This window comes from Homo sapiens, chromosome 10, assembly GCF_000001405.40.
Source record: "Homo sapiens chromosome 10, GRCh38.p14 Primary Assembly".
NCBI classification, from domain to species: Eukaryota; Metazoa; Chordata; class Mammalia; order Primates; family Hominidae; genus Homo; species Homo sapiens.
In genome coordinates this window covers 16,941,215-16,957,744 of record NC_000010.11, presented here as the reverse complement: position 1 = coordinate 16,957,744, position 16,530 = coordinate 16,941,215, and the positions used below count along the sequence as shown (strand labels likewise).

Here is a 16,530-nt window from a genome sequence, read left to right as displayed (position 1 = left end):
TTCCTTTGTCTGCTTATCCCAGGAGTGAGACTGTTGGATCATATGGTAGCTCTATTTTTGATTTTTTGAGAAATGTCCATACTGTTTTTCATAATGGCTGTATCAATTTACATTCCCATCAATAGTGTGTAAAGGTTCCCTTTTCCCCACATCCACACCAGCCCTTATTATTTTCTAATTGGGATTAAGTGGTATTTCACTGTGGCTTTGATTTGGATTTCACTGGTGATTAGTGATGTTGAGCATTTTTTCATTTACCTGTTGGTCATTTGTATGTCTTCTCTTGAAGACAAAAAGACTTATCAATGGATGAATGGATTTTTAAAATGTGATATATATAAACAATGGGATGGTACTTAGCAATAGAAATGAACACAATCCTGTCATTTGTGGCATCATGGATGAGCCTGAAGGACTTTATGTTCATGGAAATAAGCCAGGCACAGAAAGATAAATATTGCATGATGTCACTCATTTGTGGAGTGTAAAAATGCTGATCTCGCACAAGTACAGGGTAGAATAGTGGTTACCAGAGGCTGGGGACGGTAGCAGGGAGGAAATTATGGGGAGATATTTGTCAAAGGGTATACAATTACAGTTAGGTAAGAGGAATAAGTTCTGATGTTCTATAACACAGTAGGGCACCCACAGTAAACAATATTCTGGTTTATAAATATTATAGTGTGTTAAAAGTAACTAGAAGAGAGGATTCTTAATGGTCTCACCACAAATAAATGATAAATGTTTGAATTGATGGACATGCTGAATACCATGATTTGATAATTACACAATGTATATGTGTATTGAAACATCACACTATCCCTCATACATGTGTTCAATTATTATGCATCACTTAAAACCAAAATAAAAAATAAATATAAACTGTATATATTCATAAAATTGAATCTTAAACTTTTATAAAAATGAAAAAATGCTATTCTAAACAAATAAATGAATAAATTATCTTGAGAGAAGTAAATAGTCTGTGCCTTAAGATTCAATTGGTGTATTCTCCATACTCTGTAACCACAGATGTTCTAAGAAGGTATTCATTATCCTTTGATATTAAAACTAAGACAGTATTAATAGAATATTACTACAAGCTTAGGACACTGTATCTATAACCTTAGGACAGCATAAAACCAAGTATAGAGATAATAAAGACTTGAATTAAACCAATGGTGGTGATATTTGAGAGTAGACTCAAGTATGAATGTAGTAAGAGGTTTTGTAGTGATGGTTTAAATGTCATTTTGTCTACTGTTTACAGTGTTCAACGTGTTCAAAGGAAGGATTCATACTAGATTGGAAATTATAATTTGAATTGGTTAGAAAAATGGAATTTAGTTTTTAATCAATCTTTGTTGAATGAAAATCAGTCATCAGGTTTCATTTATTGGAGATATATATATATATATTTAAATTTTGAACATTAAATAATAAAAAAGAAAAGATTTGCTGCTCCAGAACAGACCCACATTTGTTTTAAACTTATTATTGTAAGAGCTTTAGCTCCTCAGAAAGTTAAAAATCCTATTGATATTTGATTCATGGGCTTGTATAAGCCAAACTGAGAATATCCTGCCAATCATACCTGTGGCTAAAGAGAACATGCAGAATCATACCTGTGTGCTAAACAGAACACTGATTATAATCATCACCAGATTTTTAAAGTCACTTGCGAGTAACTTCCTTACATTGAATCTCCGAACTTTCTATTTTTTTCCCCAAGATTTTCTTATGAAATATAAATGGCAATTTGTTTTTAATGAAATGGCCATATTTTACCTTCATACTTTCAGTCACATTCTAATGGTTGGCAGGTTGATGCATGCGTCCTGCTCAGTTGATACCTTGCAGTGAACAAGAGGAAAGGGTTTCAATTCTGGACTCTGGAATCTAGTGGTCTGATTCAACGTGACCTGCTCCCTCTTAGGAATTGTGTGACTTGGGCCCATTACTTAGGCTCTCTGTGCCTCTGTTGTCCTGTTCTTAAAAACAGAAAGAAATTTGGGAGGATAAAATGGGACAGTGTACGTGAAGGGCTGAATCCAGTTCCTGGCACATAGTAAGCACTAATGAATGGGAGTTATTATTAATCATCCAAGCAAAGGAACTCATTTCCCCCCTGATTTACACATAAGAGTATTCAAAAATTCATCCAGACACTGAGTTCCAAGCAAATTAGTAAGCTTCAAATTTTACAAATCAATACAGAGATTTCAGGTATATGTGACATAGATTCCATTTCATTACATGCCTGGAGGGTCAGCTAGGTCCCAGCATGGCACTAGGCAAGACAGAGACCAACAGTTAAAAAGAGAGAGGTAATTTTCTTTTCCTTTTTTTTTTTTTTTTTTTTTTTTTTTTGAGACAGAATCTCGCTCTCTGTTGCCCAGGCTGGAGTGCAGTGGTGGGATCTCAGCTCACTGCAACCTCCGCCTCCCAGGTTCAAGCAATTCTCCTGCCTCAGCCTCCTGAGTAGCTTTGACTACAGGTGCACACCACCACACCTGGCTAATTTGTGTATTTTTTATTAGAGACGGGGGTCTCGCCATGTTGGCCAGGCTGGTCTTGAACTCCTGACCTCAGGTGATCCACCCGCCTCAGCCTCCCAAAGTGCTGGGATTGTAGATGTGAGCCACCATGCACGGGCAAAAAGAGAGAGAGGTAGTTTTCTAAATCAGCCTTATATCACCCCTATCGTTTGAAAAGAATTCTGCCATTTCTCTTCTCTTGAGCATTACCCTATCACGAAACTTATGAAGAACAAACAGGTCCAACAAATGTTGGGATTCTGACAACAAATGCTCATCACTCATCATTATTTCTCGTCTGTTTTCTCATGTGTCTATTCTTGCATTACACATTTCCAGCACATGTTGTGGGCATGGCCTGTGAGGTGACTACACTGGGGTTGGGAAGGAAGGGGAGTGTGGAAGGGACGGCATTTATGAAGATATCAAGAAATCTAATAGTGGCTCTGACAGAGGAAGTCCTGCTGAAATTCACGTCAGCATCCCTAGAAATGACCAAAGACTTGTTACAGCTGTGAGAAAGGACAATAAAGCCAGTTTCCCTAGATCCAGCAAACGTGTGATTATCCACTAGTATATCGGCGTGCAGACAGTTCGTGGAATACAGGCCTTCTAGATGTGAATCTGAACCACTGTTTGCCCTGTCTCCTTTCTTGTAGGCATACGATGGCTTAAGCTCCACAATGTCCCGCCTTGCCAGGACGTGTGGAAGGGAGCAGCTGGCTAACCCCATCGTCTCCTCAGGAAACAGCCTCTTCTTGAGATTTCAGTCTGGCCCTTCCAGACAGAACAGAGGCTTCCGAGCTCAATTCAGGCAAGGCAAGTACCCTGTGGATCTTCCCAGGCACAAGAGAAATCTTCAGTGCTCTGTTTGGTGCAACAGTGAAATGAGACCTGTGCTCAGAAATTGATCACAGCCTTCTACTTAACATGTAAAAAATTAAATAGAACAAAAGAACTGTGACTTACAATTATCCCAACTCCTGATGCTTGTAACCTTCTCCTTCTCTGACTTCCTTTGGACCCGCATCTCTAACAAGTTTAAAAGTGCTTTTAAGACTAGAAACAGTATAAAAAAGTTTTATCCAAATTCACTGATCTAGCACTACCCAAGGCTTTACACTAGAATGGGATACACTGCTATCAATTACAAGACTTGCTTGTAATGTATTCAGATGCCAGCCCCTGGAAGCAGTGGTTTCCCTCATTTCTGAATCCTGCCATTGTCCAACTGAGGAGTCACTGTTGTTTTCCATTTATTTTTCTTTCTTTGTTCCCTCCCTTCCTCCCCTCTTCTTCCCCTTCCTCTCCTCCCCTTCCTTTTCCTCATCTCTCTTTCCCTCCCCTTCCCTTTCTTTCCACAGGGTCTCTCTCTGTCACCCAGGCTGGAGTGCAGTGGTGCAATCACGGCTCACTGAAGCCTCGACCTCCCAGGCTCAGGCAATCCTCCCACCTCAGCCTCCTGAGTAGCTGGGACTATAGGTGCACCCCCACGCCTGGCTATTTTTTTTCTTTTTTAGAGATGGGATCTGCTCTGTTGCCCGGGCTGGTCTCAAACTCCTGGCCTCAAGTGATTCTCCTGTCTTAGCCTCCCACCATACCTGGCCATTTTTGTTCTTAAATCACCACTTCTCCAAGACCTTTTTACCCATTGCCTTTCATCTGCTCGTTCTAAGAGATGAACCCCTTATCCCATAGTCAGAGATGACTTGTATTCAGATGACTCAGAACATTCACTACAAATACATTTAGTCTGTGTAGTCATTATGTCTATCTTAGTCAACTCGCTTATATTCTGTAGTAAAGAGCTCTGGATGGGGACAGTGCCTGGATCGAGGTCTCCCAAATACGCACCATAGACCTTTAGACTTTGGAGCAAGACAGACTATATTCTTGTTGATTTTAAAGAAAAACTAGTTTCCTAATAGTTCTTTTGCATGTTATTATTCACTTGTTTGTTGCTTCATAGTAAAAAGTCCCTGCTAGCTTTCATCCGGACTGTAACAACCTCCTGAAAGTCACCTACCCTTACCCCATCTCTCTCCAAAGTCGCCTGTAAAAGCCCTGCTCTGATCATGCCATTGGAATGCTCAATGTCTGTCCCGTCTCCACCTGGCCTGGAGAATAAAGCTCAAGCTCCTGCAGATGTTAACCAAGAGCCCCAGAACCCACCCTGACCTCTCTCCAGCGTCAGTCACCCACATCCCTGGGGCACCCCATGCTCCAGCTGAGCCTCTATAGATGCTCCTCTGTGTCTGCTCAGGCAGTCCCCTCCCTGGCCTCCCTTTTCTCACCCTCCAAGTCCTAGTTTAGCCTCGGCCTCCTCCTCAGCAAGACTCCTCTTACGCCCTCCAGCGGTGACCGCCTCTCCCTCTTCAAGACTCACATCGAATTTTGCTCTTCTCTAGTAATCTACAGTCATCCTTATGAAGCCTTATTCAATTGAGTATTTATTTTCCTGAAAAAAAGAGGTCATTTATAAGCAGATTATCCCTATGCCTATGATTTATGAGTGGGCAGTGTAAGTGAATCCATGCAAGAATTTTGTTTGAATGACTTAGGCAATTCATAGACATTTAATCTGTTGCTTTTTGCCACTTCCTACTTCCTGTAGTTGAAGAATAATTGTTAAAAATATAAACTGTGCTCCTGTTTTCTCATGGTTTATGTACAGCTCTCCTTATGGAGAACTTTCTTGGCGTGCATTTTAGAAATAAGAAGAAAAATCATTGATGGTTTTATTCATCAAATAATTGTTTTGTACGGTCAGTAGAAATGAAAAGCATATGACATGTATGTGTGTTTGTGTGTTCCCCAGCCTGCGGAGGCCACATCCTCACCAGCTCATTTGATACTGTTTCCTCTCCACGGTTCCCTGCCAATTATCCAAACAATCAGAACTGCAGCTGGATCATTCAAGCGCAACCTCCATGTAAGTAACAAAAATGAAAAAGAAAAGGCACACAGGAGAGAAGGTGTCTGTGGGAAGGTCAGTCTATGAGTAACCTTCTTATCTCAGTGCTAACAATCGATGGCCTTCCTCTTCATCTTTTGCAAGTCCCAATTCCTGATGTGCTTAAGAACAAGCATTTCCTAATCTGATAGGGAAGTCATTTCTACAGTTGCTTCTAAATTTAAAAACAATTTCTTTTTTTTCATGTCAAGGCCTAGCAAAGGTTAAAAAACACACACACGCACAACAACACAACACACCTACAACCTTGCTGTATTAACAGGCGTATGCAGGCGTATGAGATTGGGGGTAAACCAAAATAATCGATAAATAGTTTTTGACATGTGTGCCTTGAGTATAGCTGATGTTCAAGACAGTTGCTGAGTGAACAAATGAAGAAGAGTCACAGACTGGAGAATCAGTGACTCACGGGCCAGAATGCAATGCGCGCACCTATCCATCAAAGCAAACATTCATAAAACCTGGGCTCTCCTGCAAGGTACTATTCCAGCACAGGCCTAGAAGAAACATTGAATAAACGCTTACTTTCTTTTCTTTTTTGGAACCCTAGAATCTTATTTTCTGACCTGGTAACAGTCCGATGGTAAGGACTTCTGTCCTCATTTTACAGACAGAGAACATCAGGAAATGCCCCTCAAGGACATGACAGAATGGCTGCAAAGCGGGTGATGCTGGGGCCCTTCTGAATCCTGTTTCAGAGGAGCCCTGCCCTCCTTTGAGGTTTGCAGGAAAATACAGTTTCAGGCATAATGTAGGAAAGTCTTTAAGTTCTTCACTCTGCACAGTAATTAATCGCCTGTGTGAAAATAGGGAAGTCACTTAAGCTAATCAGGCCATGAAAAAGTAATCTGCAAAATGAAGAGTTTGGCTTAAATATTCTCTAGCACTTTCCCCTGGGATGTCAGGAGTTAACAAATTGCTAGTATCTTCATTGACATGCATAAGATGTGGCAGCCGATGATGTCATCCTTAGCCAATTCAAACGGGGAGGTGGAGCCCCAAAGAAAGTTGCCAGCCAGCCAGAAACTGAGCTGTAGATAAAGAAGCCCCCTCCCTTGAACTGAGAAGTTTGTGCCTGAGGATTATTTTCTAATGAGTTGTAAAGCATTTAGATGAAAGATCTCACTGGTTCAAGAACAGCAATAGGAAAAGATCCTATTCTGAAGATTAGGGAGCTTAAAGAACAACAAAAAGAAAATGTATCCAGGTGCTTGCTGTTCTGCAAGTAATTCAAAACTTTCTTGATAAATGTCTCTGAACCTTAGGGCACTAGCTCTAGCCTGAAAATAAAACTGAGTGAGCTAAAATGTGGGCTCCAGGGAGAAAAGAATGCCTTATTTACAAGCACATGCAAAGAATCCGAATTTAAGGAAATGAGTCTATTGAGAAAAATGCTTCTGCGAGGAACACAGCAATGGTGATATAAAAACTGGAAAGACGGCATTTTCCAACAAGATATTCCCTTATAGTGCCTGGAATGAACCTACCCAGGAGTCCTCTTATTTACCACTGCCAGTGTTTCAGATGCCACAGGCAGTTTCAAAAGCATCTATTCCGTTACTCTTCAAAGGAAACCATCTATTCTATTACTCTTCAAAGGAAACCATCTAGGATAGAAGTTGTCCCCTTCCCTTGCTTTATCCCTTCAACCATGTGCAAATCCGCCTCATTCATTACTTCTCTGCTGGAGAACCCTTACATGAAATTACCAGAAGTAAAATTTATCTCCCTGTATGTTTTTTAATTTTAATTTTATTTTGTAAAAAAATTTTATTGTTAATTTTTGTGGGTACATAGTAGATGTATATATGTATGGGGTACATGAGATGTTTTGATACAGGCATGCAATGTGAAATAATCCCATCATGGAAATGGGGTATCCATCCCTTCAAGCATTTATCCTTTGTGTTACAAATAATCCAATTCTACTCTTTTAATTATTTTTAAATGTACAATAAGTTATTATCGACTACAATTACCCTGTTGTGCTATCAAACAGGTCTTACTCATTCCTTCTATTTTTTATAGTCATTAACCATCCCCACCTCCCCGTCTTGCCCCATCTCCCTGTATGTTTTATTTGCCAGTACTTTACGAGAGAGTCTTCTCTTTTTTCTTCCAGTAAATCATATCACCCTCTCTTTTACCCACTTTGAACTTGAAAGAAGCACAACGTGTGCACGTGACTTTGTAGAAATTTTGGATGGCGGCCACGAAGACGCGCCCCTCCGAGGTACCTCAGCGTTCACTCATCTACATCTGTGGTCTTGGCTGTGCTTTATTTATAGATCCGCATATTTATAGGCTGCCATTCTAGGTTGCAATGTTTCCAATAAATAGAAAGAGCAGCCTAAGCCAAATAAAGATGATTAGAGGGTAAGAAAGCAGGCTTGAATGTGGGGTTCAGGGAACTCAGCCTGTTTATTAATATATTCAAACGTGTGAATAGTTTGTGTATATGTTTTAAAACATTTAAAAATTGCAGCTGCTTTAAAGAATAGTGGAATGCAACCCATCCCAGCATTAGGTAGCATTCTATCAGAAATTTCTTGTTAATATTTGACCAAGTTCTTACATTCACATGGAGTATGTTTCTTTCAGCCTTGTCCTTAGTGGAAGCGAAAAAAAAAGCACTTAATTAGATAATTAATTAATTAATTCCATTAAAAATCTGTCTTTTTGTTTGTTAGACATCCCAATAAAATTAAAGAGTGCCGCTATCTAGTTTCTGAAATGCTCTCAGGCAAAACAAACAAACACACACACACTACACACACACACACACACACACACACACACCAGGCCATTTAAGCTTTCTCCGTAAATTTCCTAACTTTTGAATTTTGTTGTAAAAACTTCTCATCCTGCACTAGAAGACAAGGTCTGTCAGAGAGGAGACTGTTTGGCCTGTTGCCTAATTCCCAGTGCCCAGGACAGTGTCTGAGACAATAGTGAACAATCAATGAACTCTCCACACCCTATGCACACCTCTCACAGCATTTGTTAGTAAGCATTTGACCAAGGATAAGGGTATATTATTTAACAAGCTGTTACATAGCAATACCTTGCGCTGAGTACTGTTCTCAGTATGTTATAAATAGTAGGTCAATCCTTGTAATCTTATGAGATAGGTTTCATTATTTTCAATATGCCCCTTTTTCCAAGTGAGGAAACTGAGGCACCAAGCACGTAAGTCACTTGCCTAGGATCACACAACTAGCAAATGGCTGAGCCAGGGGCTGAATCCAGGTAGCCTGGCTCCAGCATCCACACTTTTCTGTGCTACAAAATAGTGGATATTAGTGCATTTATTTGTATGGGTCCGACTGGGCTGGAGATTTTTGCTTTAGGTACATGTGTCCCTTGGTCATCTAAGTTTTTCCTCTGGTCCTATTGTTCTTGATCATGTTTATAAATCACCTCTCCTATATATAGCTCCTATATATAGTTTATTTTAAATCATCAGGTATTGTCTCAAACATTGACCCTGAATGAAGTGGTTCTCCTAGTGGCAATTTCTTCACTTTGTTTTGGTCTCTTGTAATTCGAGTAAAGATGTGTTTCCTAGAAACAGCGGTCTCTGCCATGTTGTCATTCATTCTCCTTGTCATTATCTTCATTATTTAGGCCGTTACTGTGGCACCGACATGCCCCATCCTATCACATCCTTCAGCAGCGCCCTGACGCTGAGATTCGTCTCTGATTCTAGCATCAGTGCTGGGGGTTTCCACACCACGGTCACCGCATCAGTGTCGGGTAAGAAACCCTAGCACCTGACTCTAGCGGTTAAAAGGGATGTGGTAGAAATTCTTGGTTTGTTATTGGGGACTCTGACCTTCGTAGTTGGGAGCCAGTTTCCTGAGATCACCTCTGGGCCAAATCTTACCTTCTTCCCAATTAAGTGATCGTGTTGTCAATTCTAGCAATAATGAACTCTGGAAGTGTGGAGGATTGGTTGGAAATGTAGCTGTCTTTTCAGCTACATGCCATGCTATCAGATGACTTGGTGTTCTTTTGTTGTTTTTGAGATGGAGTCTCACTTGGTCGCCCAGGTTGGAGTGCAATGGCACGGTCTTGGCTCACTGCAACCTCTGCCTCCCCAATTCAAGCGATTCTCCTGCCTCAGCCTCCTGAGTAGCTGGGATTACAGGCACTTGCCACCACACCTGGCTAATTTTTGTATTTTTAGTAGAGACGAGGTTTCACTATGTTGGCCAGACTGGTCTCAAACTCCTGACCTCGTGATCCACCAGCCTCGGCCTCCCAAAGTGGTGGGATTACAGGTGTGAGCCACCTCGCTCACCCTGGTGTTCTTTTTGGCTTGTTTGTTAAGGCAGCCCTAACCTGGGGAGGAGAGGAACGAGGAGCTACCCAGGACTGGGTTTCTTAGCCTCTTAGCCCAGAGAGTGCTGTTGGTCACTGCCATCTTCCTTGTTTTTAGTGGTTAAAAGCTACAGAACACCTAGAAGATTGGTGTGTGCATTTCGGTGCTCTACTGAGAGGGAAAGCAAGCATGCTGCGTTGGGTTCTAGGCCAGGGTTGAATAGAATCCTGGTCACAAAAGCCAAGTGGCTGTAGGATGGTAAACAAGTCTTTTATTCTTCAAAGTTACCGTTCACAGGAAGAAACGGCTTTGAGAAAAGACATTGCAGAAATTCCTTCTAATCCACCACACTGCATGGCCCTTGGTCTTCAGTTTGCAGAATTGTTCCCTTATTTTATATGACATGAATGTTTTAAAATGTGAGATGGAAATACTATCTATTCTTTTACATTGATAATGGCTCTAGCGTTCTTTCTCCTTTATTTTATAGTGTCTGATGCAGTCTTTGCTCTGATACTCACTTTATTTCTATTTTCTTCCAGCTTGTGGTGGAACGTTCTACATGGCTGAAGGCATCTTCAACAGCCCTGGCTACCCAGACATTTATCCCCCTAATGTGGAATGTGTCTGGAACATCGTCAGTTCCCCTGGCAACCGGCTCCAGCTGTCTTTTATGTAAATCCTTTTTTATGGTGTATTGTTTCAGTGCTAATGAATCTGTAGGAAAGAAGTTCTGGTGCTAATAGGATGGGCAACTCATAGTGTACGTGAAATTTAGGAAGTATTTTTCCAAATTTCCTCTGTTTCAGTCATAGTTTGAGTTATAAATAGCATGAAGTTTCTCTCGACCATGGTTCTTGGGTCCTGTCTAACATTTCCAAAAGTACATTCTTGAGTCCTTGGTGAATGAATGAATCTGTGGCGCATTCATGTTCAGAGTACAGGAATCTTATCTTTTTTTTTGGAATTAGACACATTAAGGTTCTTCCAGGGAATCACTAGTATTGTTTATTCCAGCAGAGCCCTCCCATCTCAATTAAGCATTCTTTACGCTTTTATCTTATCCCTACCTCAATCCACCTTTCCTTCTATTTCTGTCAGAAGAATGGTTCTGGGGCTGGGTGTAGTGGCTCATGCCTGTAATCCCGCACTTTGGGAGGCCAAGGCGGGTGGATCACTTGAGATCAAGAGTTCGAGACCAGCCCGGCCAACATGACGAAACCCCGTCTCTACTAAAAATACAAAAATTAGCCAGGAGTGGTGGCGGGCACCTGTAATCCCAGCTGCTTGGGAGGCTGAGGCAGGAGAATGCCCTGAACCTGGGAGGTGGAGGTTGTGGTGCACTGAGATTGAGCCACTGCACTCCAGCTTGGGCAACAGAGTGAGACTCCATCTTAAAAAAAAAAAAAAAAAAAAAAAGGAATGGTTTTGGAAGTTTTTTTAACTTCCAAACTTAAACTTACTTAAACTTTAAACTTAATTTTTTAGAACACTTTCATATTCCTCATTGCACTATAACACTTTTTGAAATGGACTATAAATATGGAATTAGTAGTAGGATCCTATCACATTCTGAGTGGTCTTAGATTAAATTAGACAGCAACAATAATATGTCCTAGAGTAGATGTAAAAAGCACACATTTTAATCAACTGATAGAGAGGTATATGTGACACGTCACACTGATAATGGATGCTTATTATATATTGAGAGATAAGATCCTGGAATTTAAATTGCCGTTTTGAATTGAAATTTATTTACCAGTCTATTTTACATATTACTAGGCTGTGGTTGGGATTGCTAATTCTGTTTTGAAGCGAATATAAGTAACTTATGGTTGAGAGAAGAGGATTGTTTTGAGGACCCTGTCCTGTTTATTTAAAAGTCTTACTTTTCTTCCAAGACTTGCTAATCTGTGCATCAGGAACTGATTAAAAATATGGGACAACTATCCTATTTGTGGACCAAGTTCAAACATCTCAAGTTGCTTTTTTTAATCCATCAATCAGACAGAGCCTCTTCAGGGTATAAGTGGCCTTGTGTTAAAACAAAGACACCCTCTGCATGCCGAAAGGCAATGCAAGTTTAAGCTGCCTCACAGGAAGGAGGTTTTGGTTTGTCTTTTTTTTTTTTTTTTTTTTTTTGGAGACACAGTCTGGCTCTGTTGCCCAGGCTGGAGTGCAATGGAGTGACCTCAGCTCACTGAAACGTCGCCTCCGGGGTTTAAGCTATTCTCCTGCCTCAGCCTCCTGAGTAGCTAGGATTACAGGCACATGCCACCATCCCAGGCTAGTTTTTATATTTTTAGTAGTGATGGAGTTTCACCATGTTGGCCAAGCTGGTCTCGAACTCCCAACTTCAAGTAATTCACCCACCTTGGCCTCCCAAAGTGCTGGGATTACAGGCATGAGCCACCGTGCCTGGCCTGGTTTGTCTTTGTCTTCACTAAGAGCACAGCGTTCTGGATGGGAAGAAATCTATATACTTTATAATGTTTACCAGACATATATTTATTCTTTCACTCAACAGATATTTATTAAGCTCCTAATATGTGCTAGGCATGTAGTTGGCACATGCTACTCTCCTATGAGGTGCCTTCTATATATTGATCAATAAAACACCATCATTGTCCTTAGAATAAAATCCAAAGCCCTTCGCACAGCTTTAGTAGGCCTATCAGAATTGCCAAATAAAATGATTTTTTTTTTTGGTCTTTTCCTGTTTGTCTCTACCACATTCACATTGTTGACTGCTCTCATTCAGTGGTTGCCAGGAACTGAGCTAGGTGTTCAAGACAGATAAGATTTCAGGTCTTGACAAATTACTCATAAGCCAACATTAAGAAGCTATTTAATTAAATTCATTTTATTTCTGTGGGATAATAATAACAAGTTTCTATAAACAAATTTATAGTAATTTCAAATTTCTAGGACTGTGAAGGTTAAAGAAGATGTCAAATTTAAAACGCATACCACACAGCTAGTGCATAGCAAATGTTTGGTGACTTAATTCTCTCAATCTTTACCATTTCTGAAGTATCTTCTGTGATAGCTCACAAATAAATCCAAACGGGCAGCACTAGGCTCTCCTTCCAGAGGATGGGAGATTACACACACAGAAAGCAAGTTTCATCTATTTCAGTGCTTAATAGACATTACATTTTAATTACCATATAGAACATCGTAATGACTCAGCTATTTCCTTTCTCGCCTGTAAGAAGTTAATTTTGATTCCTCTGAGTTACTTGCTTGAGTTTTATTTTTAAAATGGACGTTTTAGGCTGCAAGATGCCTCTTTTTTTGCAGTTGATTAATGAGAAGGCAAGGCCTGTGAGTTATTTCTGCCCTGGTCTAAATTCTATCCAGATGGATGCTTGGAAACATTACCCTGGGGTGTGTGAGAGCGTATGAGAAGCATGTGTATCACATCAAGTTCTAAAACATGGGGCTGGGATTGTGGTGAAACTGAGTAGGGAAGAAGACTGGAGAAATTATGGTTGAATCTGCAACAAAAAGGAACGGGGAGAAATAAAACCTAAAAAGGAGTTTTTTGTAAGACATATATTTAACCATTTATTACCCATAATATGACCAAAAATGTGAATATGGTAAATTGTTTTCTTCTGCTTCTCAGAAAGCAGAAAGGGAAGAAAGGGAGATCATTTTCCTCAGAAGGTAAATTACATGCAGTTGTCTCTAAAATCTTTCTATTCAAAGTGCAGTGCAATCTTTCTGACCAGTTACTTCACCCCTGCGGTTTGGTGGGCAGGGAATTGACAGAAATTGTATTTTATACTTGCAGAGTGCTTTTAGAAAGTGATAGGTCTCAGTTCAAGAATCAGAATGAGATAATAAGAAACAGTGATTGTACTATTTTTGTTCCACATCCTACATTTACTAACAGATCTAAGCCAAAGGGTGTAGTTGCTTATAAAATGTACCAGCCTAAAGCAAAGACTTCCAAGCATAATAAAGCTTTTTTTATAGTTTAATTTAATCCTTCTAGGTATTTGCCTACCACCATGTCCAACGGAATGTCTTTTCTGCCATCTAGCACTGGATTGCAGTAGTCAAGTACTTAGAAAAGACCTTCACTTTGTAATCTTCTGGAGCATCGGACAGAATGCTAATGTGCATGTTGATCATCTAGGATCTTGCTGAAATTCACTTTCTCACTGAGTTGGTTGGTGGGGCCAGATTCCTTGTTTCAAACAAGCTCTCCGGTGATGCCGATGTTGCTGGATTATGCACTTTGCATAGAAAGATTTTAGAGGCAACTTCGTGTAATTTACGTTCTGAGGAAAATGATCTCCCTTTCTTCCCTTTCTGCTTTCTGAGAAGCAGAAGAAAACAATTTTGCGTATTTCACATTGTTGATCATATTATGAGTAATAAAATTGAGCCTGAATGTATACACAAAAGTTGGCAGCCATCCCAAAGATGGATTTAGACCAATTCCTTGCAAAATAAAAAAAAGATTGAAGATAGAAATATTGTGTTATAAATCATCAGATTGTCAAAGGAGACAAATATGTGGTTTGTTTTGTCTGATGTGGATATATCCTGATTTCAATTATCAGTTATAGCTTGCTGTGAAAATTCCATCTAGTCTAGTCCAGATGGTCTATACTGTAGTGACCCACCTTGGTGGGATTCTGAGAGCCACCAGCTTACCACCAGGCTTACTGATTTGGTTAGAGACCTACCAATGCTAGTATCTGGCTTGAGAGCTAGGTTAGAGCAGAGCTGACCAGTTACTTCACCCCTGTGGTCTGGTAGGCAGGGAGTGACCAGAGATGTGCCTGGTATATTGATTAGTGGTAGGGCTTGAGGTGGTCAGAGCCTCCAGGCTGGTTATCTCTAACTATTCTCCTCCATTAGCTGAGATAGAGCCCCAGGGGAGCACTATACTTAGCATAAAGTAAAATCTTGCCATGGATAATGTTGAGCATTAACAGAAAGATACACATGACAGAGAAGTACATTTTTCCTTTCCTTTCCCCTTCCCCTTCCCCTTGCCTTCCGTTCCCCTCCCTTCCCTTCCCTTCCTTTCCCTTCCCCTTCCCCTTCCCCCTTCCCTTCCTTTTCCCTTCCCTTCCCTTCCTTTTCCCTTCCCTTCCCTTCCCTTTTTCCTTTACCCTTTCCCCTTTCCTGTTTGTTCATGCTTTCATTTCATTGGGGTATAAACCTAGAAGTGAAATTGCTGGTTCATATGATAATACTATGTTTAACTTTTTGAGGAACCACCAAACTTTTTTATAGGGATGGACTATTTTACATTCCCGTTAGTAATGCGTAAGAGTTCTAATTTCTCCATATCCTCATCAGCACTTCTTATTTTCTATTTTTAAATAATAGTCTTCCTGGTGGTTTGTAGTGTTATCTCTTTGTGGTTTTGATTTGCATTTCTCTAATGACTAATAATGTTTGAAAATCTTTTCATGTTTTTATTGGCCATTCATAAATCTTCTTTGGAGAAATGTGTATTCGGTTTGTTTTCCATTTTAATTGGGTTATTTGTTTTTAATTTTCGAGTTGCAGGAGTTATTTTATATTCAGGATACTACCTTGGTCATGTGTTTTTATTTTCTTTGGGTATATATTTAGGGGTGGAATTTCTGGGCATTAATTGGATGTACATTTAATTTTATGAGAAACTCCCAAATAATTATTCAAAGTGGCTATGTCAGTATGCAGTCCCACGAGGAATATATAAGACTTCAGTTGCTTTGCACGCTTGTCAACAATTGATCTTGTCAGCCTTTTAATTTTAGCCCTTATGATGGGTGTGGAATGATATCTGACTGTGGTATTTAAGTTGCATTGCTCTGATGACTAATCATGCAGAGTACTTTTCACATTCTTGGTAGCCATTTTCTTGTCTTCTTTTATGAATATCTGTTCAAGCCCTTTGTCCACTTTTAATTTGGTTGTTTTTTCATTATCTGTAGGAATTCCTTTTATATTTCAACTTTGAGTCCCTTGCTAGATAAATGCTTTACGATTATCTCCCATTTCCCCACCCCGGTCTGTAACTTGCCTTTTCATTTTTTTAAATATATATATATTTTCTGGACAGAGTCTCACTCTGTTGCATAGGCTGGAGTGAGTGGCACGATCACCCCTCACTTCAGCCTCTATCTCCCAGGCTTAAGCCATCTTCCTGCCTCAGCCTCCCAAGTAGCTGGGATTATAGGCACAGGCCACCACACATAGCTACATTTTATTTTTTGTAGAGAGGGGGTTTCACTGTGTTGCTCAGGCTGGTCTCAAACTCCTGGGTTCAAGTGATCCTCCCACCTCAGCCTCCCAAAGTGCTGAGATTATGGTTGTGAGCTACCACACGCAGCCTATTCATTTTCTTATTCATGTCTTTAATGAAATGTTTATTTATGAATTCAAATTTATTAATTTTTTATCTTGTGGTTAGTGCTTTTTGCATTCTATGTAAGAAATATTTGCCCATCCCAAGGTCACAAAGATTTTTCTCCGTGTTTTCTTCTAGGATCTTTATGTTTCTAGCCTTTATATTTACATCCTTGAGAAATATTAAGTTAGTTTCTGTGTACGAAGATAGGCAGAGGTAGAGGTTCTTTTTTTCCTCTCTCTCCATAAGGATATCCGTTATTGCATCACCATTTGTTAAAATGAGTTTTCCCCTTGATTTGTCTTGGCACCATGGATTGAATTGGATTGAC

General features: G+C 40.1%; 1 protein-coding gene across 5 annotated transcripts in view; it reads left to right on the top strand.

Moving 5' to 3' along the window:
- Positions 1-16,530, top strand: part of CUBN (cubilin) — a 305,846-nt gene that overhangs the window by 172,067 nt on the left and 117,249 nt on the right. For all 5 annotated transcript variants that reach the window (NM_001081.4, XM_011519710.3, XM_011519709.3 and 2 more), the window contains 5 exons: positions 3,197-3,356; positions 5,356-5,469; positions 7,634-7,744; positions 9,139-9,267; positions 10,378-10,510. In NM_001081.4, the coding sequence (NP_001072.2) occupies positions 3,197-3,356; positions 5,356-5,469; positions 7,634-7,744; positions 9,139-9,267; positions 10,378-10,510 (647 nt within the window). The remainder of the gene's footprint in view (positions 1-3,196; positions 3,357-5,355; positions 5,470-7,633; positions 7,745-9,138; positions 9,268-10,377; positions 10,511-16,530) is intronic.